The sequence below is a fragment of the Homo sapiens genome, chromosome 2 (assembly GCF_000001405.40).
Source record: "Homo sapiens chromosome 2, GRCh38.p14 Primary Assembly".
Classification (NCBI taxonomy): Eukaryota; Metazoa; Chordata; class Mammalia; order Primates; family Hominidae; genus Homo; species Homo sapiens.
The window spans coordinates 197858584-197874888 of NC_000002.12; the positions used below are offsets into that span (position 1 = coordinate 197858584).

General features: G+C 37.4%; 1 protein-coding gene across 2 annotated transcripts in view, besides 1 other annotated feature; it reads left to right on the forward strand.

The window, feature by feature from the left end:
- Nucleotides 1–16305, forward strand: part of PLCL1 (phospholipase C like 1 (inactive)) — a 345271-nt gene that overhangs the window by 53991 nt on the left and 274975 nt on the right. The gene's annotated exons all lie outside the window — the stretch shown is intronic.
- Nucleotides 14465–14965: an enhancer, noted in NCBI's record as "H3K27ac hESC enhancer chr2:198737772-198738272 (GRCh37/hg19 assembly coordinates)". NCBI's record gives its function as "activates a minimal SCP1, AML or CMV promoter by ChIP-STARR-seq in primed H9 embryonic stem cells {active_cell/tissue: H9 hESC(primed)}" and the evidence as "EXISTENCE:reporter gene assay evidence [ECO:0000049][PMID:30033119]".

Here is a 16305-nt window from a genome sequence, read left to right on the forward strand (position 1 = left end):
AGCTTCCCAAATTGGATAAATTTCATGCCTCACAACCCTAGGGTCTGCCATGTTTATTTTGTAACTTTCTTATTAAGATTAAGCAAAATAATCATGTAAAGCACTTTATCAGTTATTTATTGCCAAATAACAGCCCATTCCAAAACTTAGCAGCTTAGAACAGTAACTATTTTATTTGTTCACAATTCTGTGGATCAGCCCTTCAGCCTGGGCTCTGCTTGGTGGTTCTTCTGCTGATCTGGCCTTGGCTCACTCTTGTGATAGCAGTCAGTTGGCAGAGAGTAGGTGATCTAAGATGGCCTCAGTCAACTGTCTGGCAGTTGTCAGGCTATTAGCTGGTTACCTTGTTACTCCTCCATGGGGCCTCTCTAGTGGACTAGCTCAGAGCTGCTCACATGGCATAGCCTTTAAAGAGGGAGAGAGAGAAAACTGGAAGGCCTCGTGACGTCTATGCTTAGAACTCCCACTTGTGCTGCATTCTATTCATCAAAGTGAGGCATAAGATTAGCCCAGATTTAAGGAGTCGAAAAGTAGATTCCATTGCTTGATAGAATGAGCTGCAAAGAAATGTGGCTGTTTATAATCTACCACTAGCTCTGCCTGAAATAGGAGATCCTGAAATATGTTAGCTTTCTCTTCTTCCTCTTCCTACCTTGCTTCTTATTTCTGCTGAGGTTAAATAAACACGAATTGAAGAGAAGCTTCCATGGAAGAAGAGAAGAACTAGACATAAATAAGACTCCCTCAGATGTGTCTGATACTCAGTTTTATAAATTCTTAATCTGTTGTTTAAATTAGATTGAATTTTAAACCTACTTATACCTTTTAAAAATAAAATGCTTAAAAATTTTACTGTATTTTCTTTTAAAAAGTTTGTATATGAGACATTAAAATGTCTTGCCTTTTTCAGTTTATATCTGTGAAATTGTGAAATATATACAGTGATGCACCACATAACAAAATTTGGCCAACTATGGACCACACATACAACAATGCTCCCATAAGATTGTAATGGAGCTGAAAAATTTCTATGGTCTCATGAGTTGTAGTGGTCATAAAGTCGTAGTGATATCTATTACCTTTCCTATGATTAGATACACAAATACTTACTATTGTGTTATGATTGTTATAGTACTCAGTACAGTACATACAGTATAGGTTTGTAGCCTAGAAGCAATAGGCCTGGGTGTATAGTCAGCTATACCACCTAGTTTTGGATAAATACATTCTATGATATAAGCACAATTACAAAATTGCCTAACAGTGCACATTACAGAACAGATCTCTGTCTTTTAAAAAATTTTTTTAAGTTCAGGGGTACATGTGCAGGTTTGTTATATAGGTAAACTTGTGTCACAGGGGTTTGTTGTATAGATTATTTTGTTACCCAGGTGTTCAGCCTAGTACCCATCAGTTGTTTTTCCTGATCCTTTCCCTCCTCCCACCCTCCACCCTCAGGTAGGCCCCAGTATCTGTTGTGCCCCTCTATGTGTCCATGTGTTCTCATCATTTAGCTCCCACTTACAAATAAGCATATGTGGTATGTGGTTTTCTATGCCTGTGTTAGTTTGCTAAGGATAATGTCTTCTAGCTCCATTAATGTCCCTGCAAAGGACATGATATCATTCTTTTTTTATGGCTGCATAGTATTTCTTGGTGGATATGTACCACATTTTCTTTATCCAGTCTACCAGTGATGGGCATTTAGGTTGATTCCATGTCTTTGCTATTGTGAATAGTCCTGCAATGAACACATGTGTGCATGTGTCTTTATGGTGGAATGATTTATATTTCTTTGGGTATATACCTAGTAATGGGATTGGTGGGTCAAATGGTAGTTCTGCTTTTAGTTCTTTGAGGAATCACTACACTGCTTTCCACAATGGTTGAACTAATTTATACTCCCTCCGGTAGTGTATAAGTGTTCCCTTTTCTCTGCAACTTCACCAGGATCTGTTATTTTTTGACTTTTTAATAATAGCCATTCTGACTGGTGTGAGATGATATCTCATTGTGGTTTTGATTTGCATTTCTCTAATGATCAGTGATGTTGAGCTTTTTTTCATATGCTTGTTGACGGCATGCATGCCTCTTTTGAAAAGTGTCTGTTCATGTCCTTTGCTACATTTTAATGGGACCGTTTTTCTTGTAAATTTGTAAGTTCCTTATAGATGCTGGATATTAGATCTTTGTTAGATGCATAGTTTGCAAAAATTTTCTCCCATTCTGTAGGTTGTCTGTTTACTTTGTTGATAGTTTCTTTTGCTGTGCAGAAGCTCTTTAGTTTAATTAGATCCCATTTGTCAATTTTTGCTTTTATTGCAATTGCTTTTGGCATCTTCGTCATGAAATCTTTGCCCGTTCCTATGTCCAGAATGGTATTGTCTAGATTGGGATCCCTGTCTTAAGTGGCACATGACTGTGTTTGATCTTCACCCAGTTTCCTGGCATACAACTCCTAAAATCCTTAAAATCTCCAAAGTGATAAGCGTCTCTTTGTTTGCTAATGAGATGACTGGTGGTTGGCAGCCCCTGGGTAGCTTCAGGATGGGGGCTGATCACAAGAAAGACCAAGGCATGATTATGTAGTTGGAACTGTTTAAGCCCTATTCCCCAACCTCTGAGAAGGAGAGAGGGGATAAAGTTTAAGTTGATCACCAATAGACAATATTTTAATCAATCATACCTACATAATGAAGCCTCCATAAAAGCTTTGGATAAGCTTCCAGATAGCTGACCACATGAAGGTTTCTGGAAGGTGGAGCACCTAAAGAAGGCATGGAAGCTCTGTGTCCGTTCCCCCATACATTGCCCTATCCATCTCTTATCTGGTGTTCATCAGTATCCTTTGTAACATCGTTTTAAATAAACCAGAAAGTATAAATAAGTGTTTCCCTGAGTTCTGTGAGCCACTCTAGCAAATTAATCAAACTTGAGTAGGGGATTGTGGAAACCCTGATTATAGCCGATTGGTCAGAAGCACAGGTAAAATAACCTGGAATTTGCAATTGGCATCAGAATGGTGGTGGGTGGAGGATAAGGAGGGGAAGTCTTGGGGACTGAGACTTCAACCTGTGGGATCTGAACTACCTCCAGGTAGAGAGTGTCACAATTGACTTGAATTAGAGGACACCCAGCTGGTGTCTGCTGCAGAAGTGATTGCTTGCTTGGTGTATGGGGGGGAACCCCTACCCCTACATTTGGTCACAGAAATCTTTTGTGTTGACTGTTGAGTGACAGTATAGGAGAAACTGACTTTGTTTTTTTCCTATATCCTCAATATCAAATAAGGAATTTGCTGAAGAAAGCTTGGTTTTGGAATGAAGATGAATAATAATTTAAAATACGGAAAAAGTAATATATTTAGCAATTTGACAAAGGCTCACGGCACTCTTCTTTTTCAGTTTAATGGAATTGTATATATGTGATTAAGAAAACCAATAAAGCAAACTTCTAGCATTTTCCCCTTTAAGTGATAATTAATTGTCTCCTTATTGAGTAATTAAATTAATCTGAGTCTACAGATAGATGAGTTACATGGATTTTAATAATTTAGATAGCATCTATAACTTTTAAGAACCTGTTAAATGATTATGAGAATCAACCAGGTTCTCCTGGTGATGCCATGATCATAATAATCTGCACTGCATCTAAAAACAATCATTTGGAGAATTAGTTTGAAATACTGTTCTTTATATAACTGACAATAATAAATATTTTCTGATAAATGCTAACTTGATTTGCTGATTATTGGAGAGCTAAGAATAATAAGTGAAAAGAGATACGGAAATAAAAGGAAAAGGAAGTACATGCTACTACTTGTCTTTAGTTTATTTCTAGTGAAATCAGATCTATTAGTCAAGACATTTAGTTGCAAAAGACAGAAAATGTAAAATGGGAAATTATTGGTCATATAAAGGGAGGGTTAAGAGGAATACATTTCAGTACAGCTGGATGTAGGGGCCTGAGGAGGTAATGAAGACCCAGTTTTTCTTTCTCCATGTTTTTTGTCTCTTTCTTCTGTGTTGGTGCCAGTCTCAGGCTTGATGTGGGAACACTTTAGTTGTAATAGTTTAAATCCCTGTATTCTTTTGGTTTAAGTACAATAGAAAAGAATGGTTTTCTAATCTCAGGAAAATGCCTGAGATTAGATCTGTTTAGGACTGCTTGATCTGGTGTGAGTCATGTGTCTGTCCAACCCCAGATGAACTAGAAGGATGGAATACCTTGATTGTCTCAGGCCTCTCTCTTGCTTCACTTGTTGTTCTTCTGGAACAAAGTCAGGGACCCTCATCCTAAGCCCACAGATTGAGACTGGAGAAGAGTAGATTCTAGATAACAATAGGAGACTTCAAAAGTAGGGTAAAGCTGACATGGCAAGCCAAACACAGCTAGGGTCTATTACAAATGTAACGTACATGTTCCTGGAACGCAGTAGATGCTCAATAATATGTCTTAAATTAGAGACGGTTGTTAGAAAAGGATATTTTAGCCTTTTGAGTTTTTGTGTATTTTGCTCTCGGAACTCTGCTGGGTAAATATAGATAAGAGTTTGCACTCTCTGGTCTTTTCTTAAAGCGTTTTTTTTTTTTTTAATGATTATGTGCCTTTCACGCAATTATTTAGCAATAATAATGTTCTGATTTTACAGATGGAAGACACTGAATGTGATGAAAAGGCTTGATGCTGTTTATAAAATTCAGTGTTGGACAAACTTAAAATGTTTTCTCCATTAAAAATTTGTAAATTGTGTTTAAAAGTACTCAAAACAGTTATATTTGCATCCATCAGTTATATAAAATAGTATTATGACTATTAGTCTGATAACAGATAGATAAATGTGATCGATTATTGCATGTTTCTGGGTAGCTTGTCATATCATAACCATTTCTAGAATTCTTGGACACATTTAATGTATTCCTTTAAAAAATCAGAATGGATATTCTGATTTGTTCTGTCTGTTGGTAAAATTCAAGTCAGAGATGAATTAGCTCCTGCCAACTTGGCCTATTTAAATAGTATAGGGGTTTTATACAAGAAGATATCATAAAATTTCCTTTTATTATCATAGATTACTGTATAAATAGGTGATCATCTAATCAATAGTCCAAACTAGGACATTGTTGAGAGTGACAGGGGAAAATTACATTGTGAGACCAGGCAGAATCTAGACAAACCAGGACTTGAAGTCATCCCGTGTATAAACAATACAACTTATTACCTGTACACTTAATATTAAATTTCTCTATAAGGAACAGTGTCAGAGGACTTTTTTTATACTGCAGAGCACTTTGATAAGATAGCTGTTGGTCATGTGACTTCTTTGGTATGGCCTATTTTTCCTTTAAGAATTAATAACATCTTAAACACTCATAGACATGACAGCATTTGGAAAGTCCCAGTGCTTCTTTCTCTATTTTTCTAGCAGAGTATTTAGTAGGAGGAATAATTAATTTTTTGAATGACAGATTTAGCTCTCTAACCATGTCCCTGGTCACCTCTTAGACTAAAATAGATCATGCCAGGTAAACTATGATAATAATGCCTGATAAAGATATCTTGATGGTGTAATTGACAATACCTCAATAAGGCAGTGGAGGTTAGAAGAACAATGAGAAGTCTTCTACTGTCCCCTGCCAATTTCAGTATATCACATGGAAGTTATTTTTCTGTTATCCTTGTCCCTCCAGGTGGCATTTAAGATTTGAGCATCATGGTAACAGAGGGCCAGAGAATGAAGGAAACAAATCTCATGTCAACTCTTTCTTTTTTTTTTTTTTGTTTCTCTATGTTTCATTTATTTTTTAAGGGGTGAACTCTCTTTGTTAAGTATAATTTCTATTCTATAATAGTAATTTAATAAATACTTAATAATGTGAATGCATATTTCAATAGCATTCTTTTTTTTTTTTTTTAACACAGGATCTCACTTTGTCACCTGGGCAGGAGTGCAGTGACACAATCACAGCTCACTGTACCCTCGATCTCCTGGGCTCAAGCAATCTTCCTACCTCAGCCTCCCAAGTAGCTGGGACTACAGGTGTGTGCCACCATGCCTGGCTAATTGTTTTGTAGAGATGGGGTTTCACCATGTTGCCCCGGCTGGCCTTGAACTCATGGGCTCAAGCCTTCTGCCTGCCTTGGCCTCCCAAAGTACTGGGATTACAGGCATGAACACTGCACCTGGCCAATTTTACTCTTTTAAAAAAATCTTATTTCAACCGGACACATTTTTATACAGTATAAAAACATGTTAAAAATCAGCAGTTACAGAAGCGGTTAAGAACTTCCTTGTGAAAGCAATGTTCACTCAGTCTTTATTTTCCAAATGACTTGAATGCTCTTAATACTAATTTCACCTTGATCTAAGCCACTTTATATTAAACCCTTTTATTTAAAGTTAGTTGCTTTTGAGCCCACTGCATAGAGACCCTCTAATTCTGTGTAGTGACTTGTACTTTAGTGCCCAATTAGAGTGTGAATCAAGGTTAATTAGCAACAAATCATCTTTTTATAATTGAAGAATCTAAGGTACAGCAAGATAAGTGACCTACTGAGGGACAGAGTTCAAAATAAAATAGGTTTCAGTCACTCAATGAAGTGCTTTGCTGGGAGATCTCGCCTGGTCCTGTGGTCCTTTAGTGAAATATGGGGAAACCAGCAGGGGACGTAGGTCAGATAGTTTATAATGGTGAGTTATAGGTTGTATATTATAAGGAGCATTTCTCAGCACTGAAGAAATTTCACTAGATTCCAGCTCACCTTTCCAAACTATTAAAAGCAAAACGGGACTGTTTTTCAAAAATTGGAAAGTAAACCTGGCTTCTTGTTAGAAATTTGGAAAATATTGAGAAGTTTTAGACCCAGTCCCTTTAACCTTAAGGAGCTCACATGCAATAAGATGGAAGGGGCAGGGGAGATCAGGACAGAAAACTACCGATATGGCCGTGAGAGCATGGAAGCTTAGATCAGTGAATTCTTCTTGAATTTACCTTTTTATAAATCTTTAAAAACAAATTTGACTTTAAAAAAGCACAAATATAAATCGGAAATGCTAATTAGCACGTTAAGTTAGATGAAACATATCAGTGGAATCAAAGCTCACGCGTCAAATGATGTATTTTAATATTTTAAAAATCACAGTTTAAGCTGGACATAGTGGCTCACACCTGTAATCCCAGCACTTTGGGAGGCCAAGGTAGGTAGATCACTTGAGCTCAGGAGTTCAAGACCAGCCTGGACAACATGGTGAAACCCTGTCTGTACAAAAAATACAAAAATTAGCTGGGTATGGTGGTGCCTGCCTGTAGTCCCAGCTACTCAGGAGGCTGAGGCGGGAGCATAGCTTGAGAGAAGGTTAAAGGCTGCATAAGCCATGATTGCACCACTGCACTCCAGCCTGGATAACAGAGTGAGAACCTATCTCCAAAAAAAAAAAAAAAAAAAAAAAAAAATATATATATATATATACACACACACACACACTATATATATATATATATATAAACTATATATATATATAAACTATATATATATATAAACTATATATATATATAAACTATATATATATATAAACTATATATATATATAAACTATATATATATATAAACTATATATATATATATAGTTAGTTTAAGAAATGAGCAAAAATGAATAGCTAGGCAGAAATTTATGATAGCTTTTCTTAGATTAAACACCAAAAATATCTTGAACATTTGCGTTGGCTGAAAATGTTCTTTGTAAACAGTGAAAAAAATCTACAGTTTTATTTTAAAAAAGAATTAGTTATGTTTCCTAGTACTTTCACATTGAATTAATTTGTCACTTATTCTAGTGGATAAACAAGAATAGGGCTACTTACCTGAATGTTAATGGGGCAGATGCTACCAGAGCCAACCCTTATCCCCAGGACCTTTCACATTTCTCTTGTGAACTTTCTACTGTCAGCACCTGCATCTCAAATGCTGATTTGCCCATGGACAGCAGTTCATTCTAGGGAATTAATATGCTTGCTTTTCCAGCAGCCCTCATCTAATAACTCTCTAGAGGTGACATATAAATACTCCAGCTCCCTCACCCTCAGATGAGATAATTCTGAAGCTGTGTTTTGCACTAGTTCTGAAAGCTTCCCCAGGGAATTCAGCTCCAAGCACCCACTCTGGCAGCTGATTTATTAGATGCTTTTCCTTCTTTGTCTCTCTTCCCCACTTCCCTACCACTGTTCCCTACTTGGGGTCTGCTTCTGGAGAACCCATACTAAATCCTAAAATTAGGCATTATTGTTATTACACTTCTATGCACTACCTGGATTAACCCCATGGCGATCATCGTTTGGGAATTCTCAAGTGTTTTACATAAAAGGCATCATTCATAAAGCTAAAGAAGGACCAGTAGGATCAATGACGCACACTAATGGATTGAAAGAGTTATCTAGCATGACCCGAGATGCATTAGCAAACACAGGAAATCTGACCTTGGGAGAAAGCCCCTGATCTGAGCCTGGAGAGTAAGACTGAAGTCAGAATGATAAGCCTTCCTTGTCCAATGTCACATTGCTTTGGATTTGCTGTAGAGCTGGAGGTTCAGGGAAGGGCATTTCTGCAATGCCTTCTTTTACTTTTGCATGTCCTTCCTGGCCTGACTGATGTGGGCGGTGATCTCATTTTATTCTTTCTCCCTAAATCTTCTACAGCAGTATACACATAGATAGTGAATACTTGTTGATTAATGGGCTACTGTGCTGTGCTGTCAGGTGCTATATTAAATTCTGTTATAGCAGTTACTTCTAGGATCTGTAGGTATTTTTTTTTTTTGTACTATAAGTCCGCTGGTCTTTGTTGCTATTACATTATGGAGCATTGTCAAATATTCCATTTTCTCTTCGAGGAGTACTTGGCAAAATTAGCATCTGATGATTTATTTTTGAAAATTAGTGATAAGATATTGATGAAATAGACATAGTTTCTAATCTTTTGTTTCTAGTCCCATTTAGTTCTGTGCATGATCTTGTGAATGAGAACTTTCATATGCTAAGGAAATCTCTTCCAGCCTTAACCAGGAGCAATCAAGCCAGTTGTTGCTGACACATCCCTGCTACACCTCGCTTCTCTGGCTGTGGTTTGCTGGGATCCCCAGGGTAGTAGTTAGATGAACACTGCCATCATCTTGCCTACTCTGCTCCAGGATTTCTAGCGTGGCTCACTGTCCCCAACCAGACGTCCTTATCAGCAATTCCTTAGAGATGTCACTCTGACTCTTGTGGTGATCTCACAGAAATACTCATAAAAAAAATTGAGTATGCTGCTGTGTGCTGTAAATTGTCTTTCTCAACTTGAAGTTATACCTCTTTAACCACTGTTCATCATTTCTGTGACAACTGTATGAGTATACTGTATACTTTAAACATGACAATGATTGATCCTGTAGGTAAAATACCAAATGGTTGAAAACAAATGGCAAGGATTTTTACAATTGAAAGGCCTATCCACCCGGTGACCACTGTATTATTCATTAGAAATAGGTATTATCTTAGCTATTATAACTGCTGGAAGTTTTGTGAACCTTTTATGTCCAGTCAAAACTGCAAACTCTGCATATGCTTGCTTATGAATATTACTTCTAGCTAAAGAAGTGTTCATATAGTCTTTTCCATTTAAATACATGGCTAGGCATTTACTGAAATGTGAGCTATTTACTAATGGTAGATTACTGCAGTGTCTTTCATATCAGATGTTGCTTATCTGACAATCTCAACTAGGTGGAAACTAGGCAAGAAACAGGTAGGAAGCTGAATTGGCTCGTGAGATAACCTAAGAGATATCCCAGTGTCTATGCAGTACCTATTCTTGTGTACTTTATCTTTATTCACTGGAAAACCCTTCTACAACCACATGCAAAATCAGTTTGTTTTTAAAAAATTTTACACTTTTTTTTTAAAGACAGGATTTTGCTTTCTTACCCAGGCTGGAGTGCAGTGGCACGATCATAGCTGACTGGAGCCTCATCTCCTGGGCGCAAGTGATCCTCCCACCTCAGCCTCCCAAGTAGGTGGGACTAGAGATGCATGTCACCATGCCTGGCTAATTGAATTTTTTTTTTTTTTTAGTAGAGATAAGGTCTCGCTTTTTTTTTTTAGTAGAGATAAGTTCACTTGAACTCCTAGATTCAAGTGATCCACCCACCTCAGCCTCCCAAAGAGCTGGGATTACAGGCATGAGCCACCATACCTGGCCTTTACACATACTTTTAACAGGTTTGGTTCAGTTATATAATTTCCTGGTTAGTAGCAAACAAGAAGGGAGAAAAGAATAGACTACCAGAGAAAAATACTAAGAAATTATACTTTATTAATACCTAAATGATTAAACTTAGTGAAAGAGTGAGTTTTAGTCACATTTTAACTTAAAAACTGATAATTGTGTTAGAAAGCTTCAGACAGTTTGAGTGCCTGTTATACGCTGAGCAATGCAATGCAATGTTTACCAGAGTCCTCTCTAGCTCTTACATCTTGTCTGTGAGACAGACATTATTATTGCCATTTTAAAAATTAGAGAACAACTTAGGCTCTGATGAGTGAAATGATTTGCACAAGGCCAAGCAGTAAGTAACTGAGTTTGAATTAAAACCAGGACTGTCCGATTTAAAGGCCCTATTGTTTCTATCATATCAAATTGCTTCCACATGGGCCATTCCACAATGTACTTAGTGAAATTATTATTTTAAGAGCAATACACTTCTTAGAGGAACTTAATAATAACCTCCTCTGACTCCCCTGAATTTACGTATCTTTTTCTTTTTTTTTTGCCTAAATGGGGATATAAACAAAAATAGTGATTATTTTGATTTATATTTACATAATAACTTTTTCACTTTGTATAGATTCAGTTTGTGACTCTAATAATACTATTTCTGGCTTCAGGCCTGTTGATGTTCGACTCATGCAGTCACATACTTGTTCTTTAAATGGTTGTGGTGAGGATCATGTGAAGGAAGGAACAGCCAGAAAAGCATCAAGATAATTGTGACAACTGCCACGGGTGGTACAGTGATTAAAGAGAACAGATATGTAAAAGTAATTTCTTTGCTGAGCCATCACTGGTGCAGAGAGCAAAACAATGGGGACAGATGTGACTGAAAGAAGTTTTGATGTTATCCTAGTGTTTGGTTTTAATCCCTCCTCACCTCTTGACACCATCAATTTTTATCTGTCATGTAAAAACAGCAGCAACAGCTCATAGTAGAAGGTATGCTGCAACGGTAAATTTCATGGCAAGACTTCTTACGTAATTCAGGGATCACATGAAAGAAAACCACAACATTATCTTCTAGCTTCTTATCTGATTTTGTAAAAAGGTTTCAAGCATACTTTTTTTTTCCATAAGTGTTATTTATCAGAAATCTTAAATGGTAGAAACCAAACTTTGTGAAACAGGAAGGGTAATAAAGATTCCCGTGTATCTGGGCGGCCACGAAGCATCATGGAGTTTTTGTTTTGTGTCTCCGTGGAGTTAACTGGTTTTAGCAGTTCTACTGAACTTTAGCTAAAATGAATTACACAAATAACTGATTAGAATTGACTCATGCTAGAATTTGAATTACTAAAGCATGCAGAAATAAGAGTAAATGCTAAGGGGAGCTTTGCTGCTTTTAGGGTGTTTGATGTGAATTCTGATCTGGTCTCCTACTACCTTCAATCTATTTGATACCACAGTACAAGGGACACTCAGGTACATGTAGGCTCCAAACCCTTATCTAGTCACATCTTCATGAGCCACACTGACCTTTTTAACATAGAATGTAGGTTAGAGGCCTATGGTTCGTTTTTGTGGCGTTAAGAGTCCCACCCACCCAAGACCCAGTGAATGAGAATCTCTTGGTGTAGGGACTAGAGATGGACATTTTAACTATTCTTCCTGGGTGAGTCTGATGCATATTTGGGAACCTCTGCACAGGCCTCCTAAGTATCATTACCCCTTCTAAATATGTGGCATCTCTACCCTCAGAGAGTGTTACCATATTTGTTAGCGGGAAGGGAAGAGAGAAAAGTGTCAGGCTTGAACAGAAGAGAACTTTGAACATCTATTCAAAGAGTGGAAAACTTTGAACCTCTTTATTCTACTACCCATACCTCCAAGTCCAGCTGCCTTGGTATAATTATATTTCTTGAATATGCACATTTTCCTTTGAGCTCGAATAGAACTGCTTCTCCTTGGATGTGGAATTGATGTGAGTAGATAGGAGTGACGCTCTTCCTTAGAGCTGAGATTCTTACTACTGGGGGGAAAAGAGACCAGGCTGCCCCTATTCCTTATCACACTCCCTTACCCTGATCATTCCAATTCACTATATCTGATACCATCCGTGATTCAGATGCTCACCTCGGGAGAGGAGCTGTTTTTCTGGATATTAAACTACATGAGCAAGAGTGAACATTTTGTATTGTGTAAAATTCCGTGTTTGGGATGGTGTTAGAGGCAGAGATACTTCCTGGGTCTAATGCCATACAGAGAGGCTTGATACTTACCCTCAAGCAGGAATGAGAGGTACATTTAAATTACTAGACTGATTAGACTCCTGAATTTAGAATCCTAATTTAAACTCCTGAAGAGTTAGCTGAGGGATGTGAGGGGCCTGTACAGTTGCAGACACATCTGTTTCACCCCAAACAGATCCTGTACTGTTTGGAGAGAAACCCCTAGTCTTCCCTACATCCCTGGCTTTAGATTTTTTGGGGCCTGTTCTTAGAATGAGGTTCATAAGGGAAGGGGCAGTGTGGCCCTCCTGAGACCAGAGGGAATAGGATAAGGCAGAAGTTCTCAAGTGTTGAAACGCCTGAGGTTCTTGGTAAAATGCAGATTCCAGACCCCCACCTGGATCCACTGAGGGGAGTGCCTTAGTTTCCTAGGGCTGCTGTAACAAATTACCACACCCTTGTTGGCTTAAAACGGAAATTCATTTTCTCATGGTTTTGGAGGCCAGAAATCTGAAATCAGGGTGTCAGCAAGGGGTGGTTCCTTCTGGAGGCTCTGAGGGAGAATTCGTTCTATGCCTGTCTCCTAGTTTTGGTGACTGTGGGAAATCCTTGGCATTCCTTGGCTTATAATAACATCGTACCCCAAACAATACAAAACAAAAATAACAAAATACCACCTAAATTAAGTTAGGTGCACTCCTTAGTGTCCCCCTCCCTGAGTGCTTTGAGTAAATCTCTAATTTTGCTTTGATTGCTCTGGTTAACACACAACCATAAGAACACGACCAGCACTGCAACACTCACCTATCTGACAAGGACACCTGTGCTTTCCCCTTTACACCCTCTACAAAGGGACTTGGAGGCTCTCTAATAAACCCAAGGACATGCTTTCTGTGGGAAAGAAGTGGGGGCAGGTACTTAGCTCCTGGGACTCCTGGTGAATGGCTAGTTTGTTCAGCTGTGCTGTCACTTTGTTGCTGTAGACACTAAATTCCAGTCTGGATTACAAACCTTTTGTGAGTAACTCGGACTAATATTTACAATGCTGGAAGATGTAAAATTTAAAAAGCCAGTTGACCTGAAATAATTTGTTAGTTTTCTCCCCCCTGGCCTAATCCAAGAGCTTTCTGCTTAGCTCATCAGGTCCTCTGGTGACCTTAATTTACTTTTAGGTAGCAAATTTCCTGTTCCATGCAAGCAGAGGAAGTTCTCTCAATGAAATATAGCCAAATCAGCACAATACCAATCACCTATCCTATTAATTTCTTTATACTAAGTCTGGAAGGCATTTAGGGCCTTGAATCTCTTTGCCTGCCTGTGTCCTCCCTCTTTCTCATTTGTAATCCGTCTGTTTTCCCCATTAAACTGTAGGCATCAATGCCAACCATAAGTTTTATACCAAACATATGATTGGCATCCCTTCCTTGGAGGCACTGTACCCTAATGGTTAAGGGCTGTGCCACAGATCCATGACTGTATTCAGCTCTACCATTTACTAGATTGTGATCATAGGCAAGTTATTGAACTGCTCTAAGCTTCATTTTTCCCATCTGATGAATGGGGGCAATGATGACAATGATCATGATACCCACTTTATTGGATGATTGAGAGAATTAGATTATGTAAGTTTTATAAAGGGCTTGGTACACAATAAATTCTCAATTAGCTATTTTTGTGATTACAATTGTAATTATATTATTATTATTTGTTTAAAATGCCAGTAAGATAAGCTTGAGTAAAAGATTTCTTATACTAGGAAAGAAGACAATAACTACAGGATGACAGGCTGAGTAAAATTATTTGCATAATAACCCACATTGATTAGGCTCTTAGTAGGCATTAGCACAATCCAAAGTTCTTACATCTATGATCTTATTTGATCATCATGGCATGCTAAGAACTATTACTATTACCTTATTTTCCTGATGAGATAACTGAAGCACAGAGAGATTAAGTATCTTGTTCAAAGTTTGTCAGCGTTAACAAGGGTCTAAGATTTACCACACACTATGTTATAGTCACTCCACTGGCTTCAAAAGATTAATATAGGGAAGGTTTCTAAATTGCTCATTTTTATAATATAATTATTCAACATGTTTATGTGTATTCAATACAAATTGTTTACTATAACATTATTCAAAAAACTTTCTATTAATACACATATCACAAACACATGTTCCTTTAGGGTGGGGGTAAAAAGCCCCAGCATCTTAGCTTCTAGGTGGGAGCCTGCAGGCACGGAGTGCTCTTTTTCTCTCTGGTGGTTGCATAGGTTACAGAGCCAGCAGGAAGTCCAGTGCCTGTGGCCAGTAGAGGAATAGCATGGACCCTGCAGAGAGACTGTCATCAAGCTGTGCTGGGCAGGTTCTTACACTTTGTGGCGGGGAACTTTCTTGCTGGGAGAGGTTCTTCTGGGCTGTGGCTGCTCACAGCCATGCTATAATTGGCTTCTGCAAAGTAGCAAGCATGCTGGCTTTGCTACCCCCATCCATCTGGCTGAGTTTTATGCACATGCAAATAACAGAACCCTTATTTGTGGCTATCCCTGGGACTCATGAGTCACAACGCATGCATCCATACGGTCTACAATGTCATACAGCCAAAGCTGGGGGTGGGGATTAGAACATTTAGATTCAGCCAGTCTGACTTTATTGTCTCTGTGCCTCACCAATATATCAGGCCACCTTCCTCCAATAGGAAAATCCTAAAAAAGTCCTGACATTGGTGTCTCAATCTTTGCCAGATTTTTGGCACACCACAATCTGAGCTTAAATTGCGATGCAAAATATTTCGGACAAGGCTCAGCATTGCTACTTGTTTGTTTGCTTATTTTTTGTTGGAAACCCAGTGTAGTTCATTTCATCTCCACACTCAGCTGTTCACTGATAGCTTTTCTTCTTAAAGGAAATATTTTTTAGTACTTGTTGATGTTGACTTTAGTAACGCAATATTATCAATAGTATTTAGAATGGTTCTTTAACAAAAATGTAATTTCAAAGCAACCTTATGAAATTTTACTTATAAGTTTTTCATTTTATAGCACTTGCTCTGGGAAATGGCTACTTGTCAAAATAATGACGGATTCAAATCTCAATGGCGTGTAGTCACATTTCCATAGTAAATATGCAGTCACAAGTCCTTTCTGGTATTTCAAATTTTCCCACTTTTTTAACATCAACTTACTGATATAAATTCTATTTTCTTTAGATTATTTTTGAATATTGCAATTTGAAGGCTGATGAAATTATCTTCGTTATAGAAAAAAGTAACTTTAAAAATTATAATATAGTTTAGAAGCTTTGGAATATGTAGATAAACAAAAAGAAAATAAAAATAATTAATAATCTCATCATCCAGAGATAGCCGTTGTTAAAATTTGTTTTTTATAATGAAATGATTTTTTAAAATTTACTGCTTATTGCAGGAAAATATACTGACAGAAAATTAAATTATCTGTTTACACTAACCTTGATAGATTTCTTTAAAAAGAAGCCCAAGTCCTCCAAACTATTTAAAAGTAAGCAAATAAACACTTTATTTGAAATTTTAAAAGGTGAAAAAGCACAAATTAAATATTAAGTTTGATACACAGGTGTTTTAGATTTAGATTGTTTATGATTTAATAGACTTTTGTGTTATGTAGCATAATTTTTTGTTGGGATTCAATTTGCATATGGTACACTAAGGTTTCTTATGCATTGATAGCATATAGTATATTTTATGCTTGTTTTCTAGGGTTTGCAGTGTAATTTTATCTATTTAACTTTATAATAGTCAAAACAACCAAAATGTTCTTTAATAGTAGGATAGATAACTAATAGTTTACATAATGA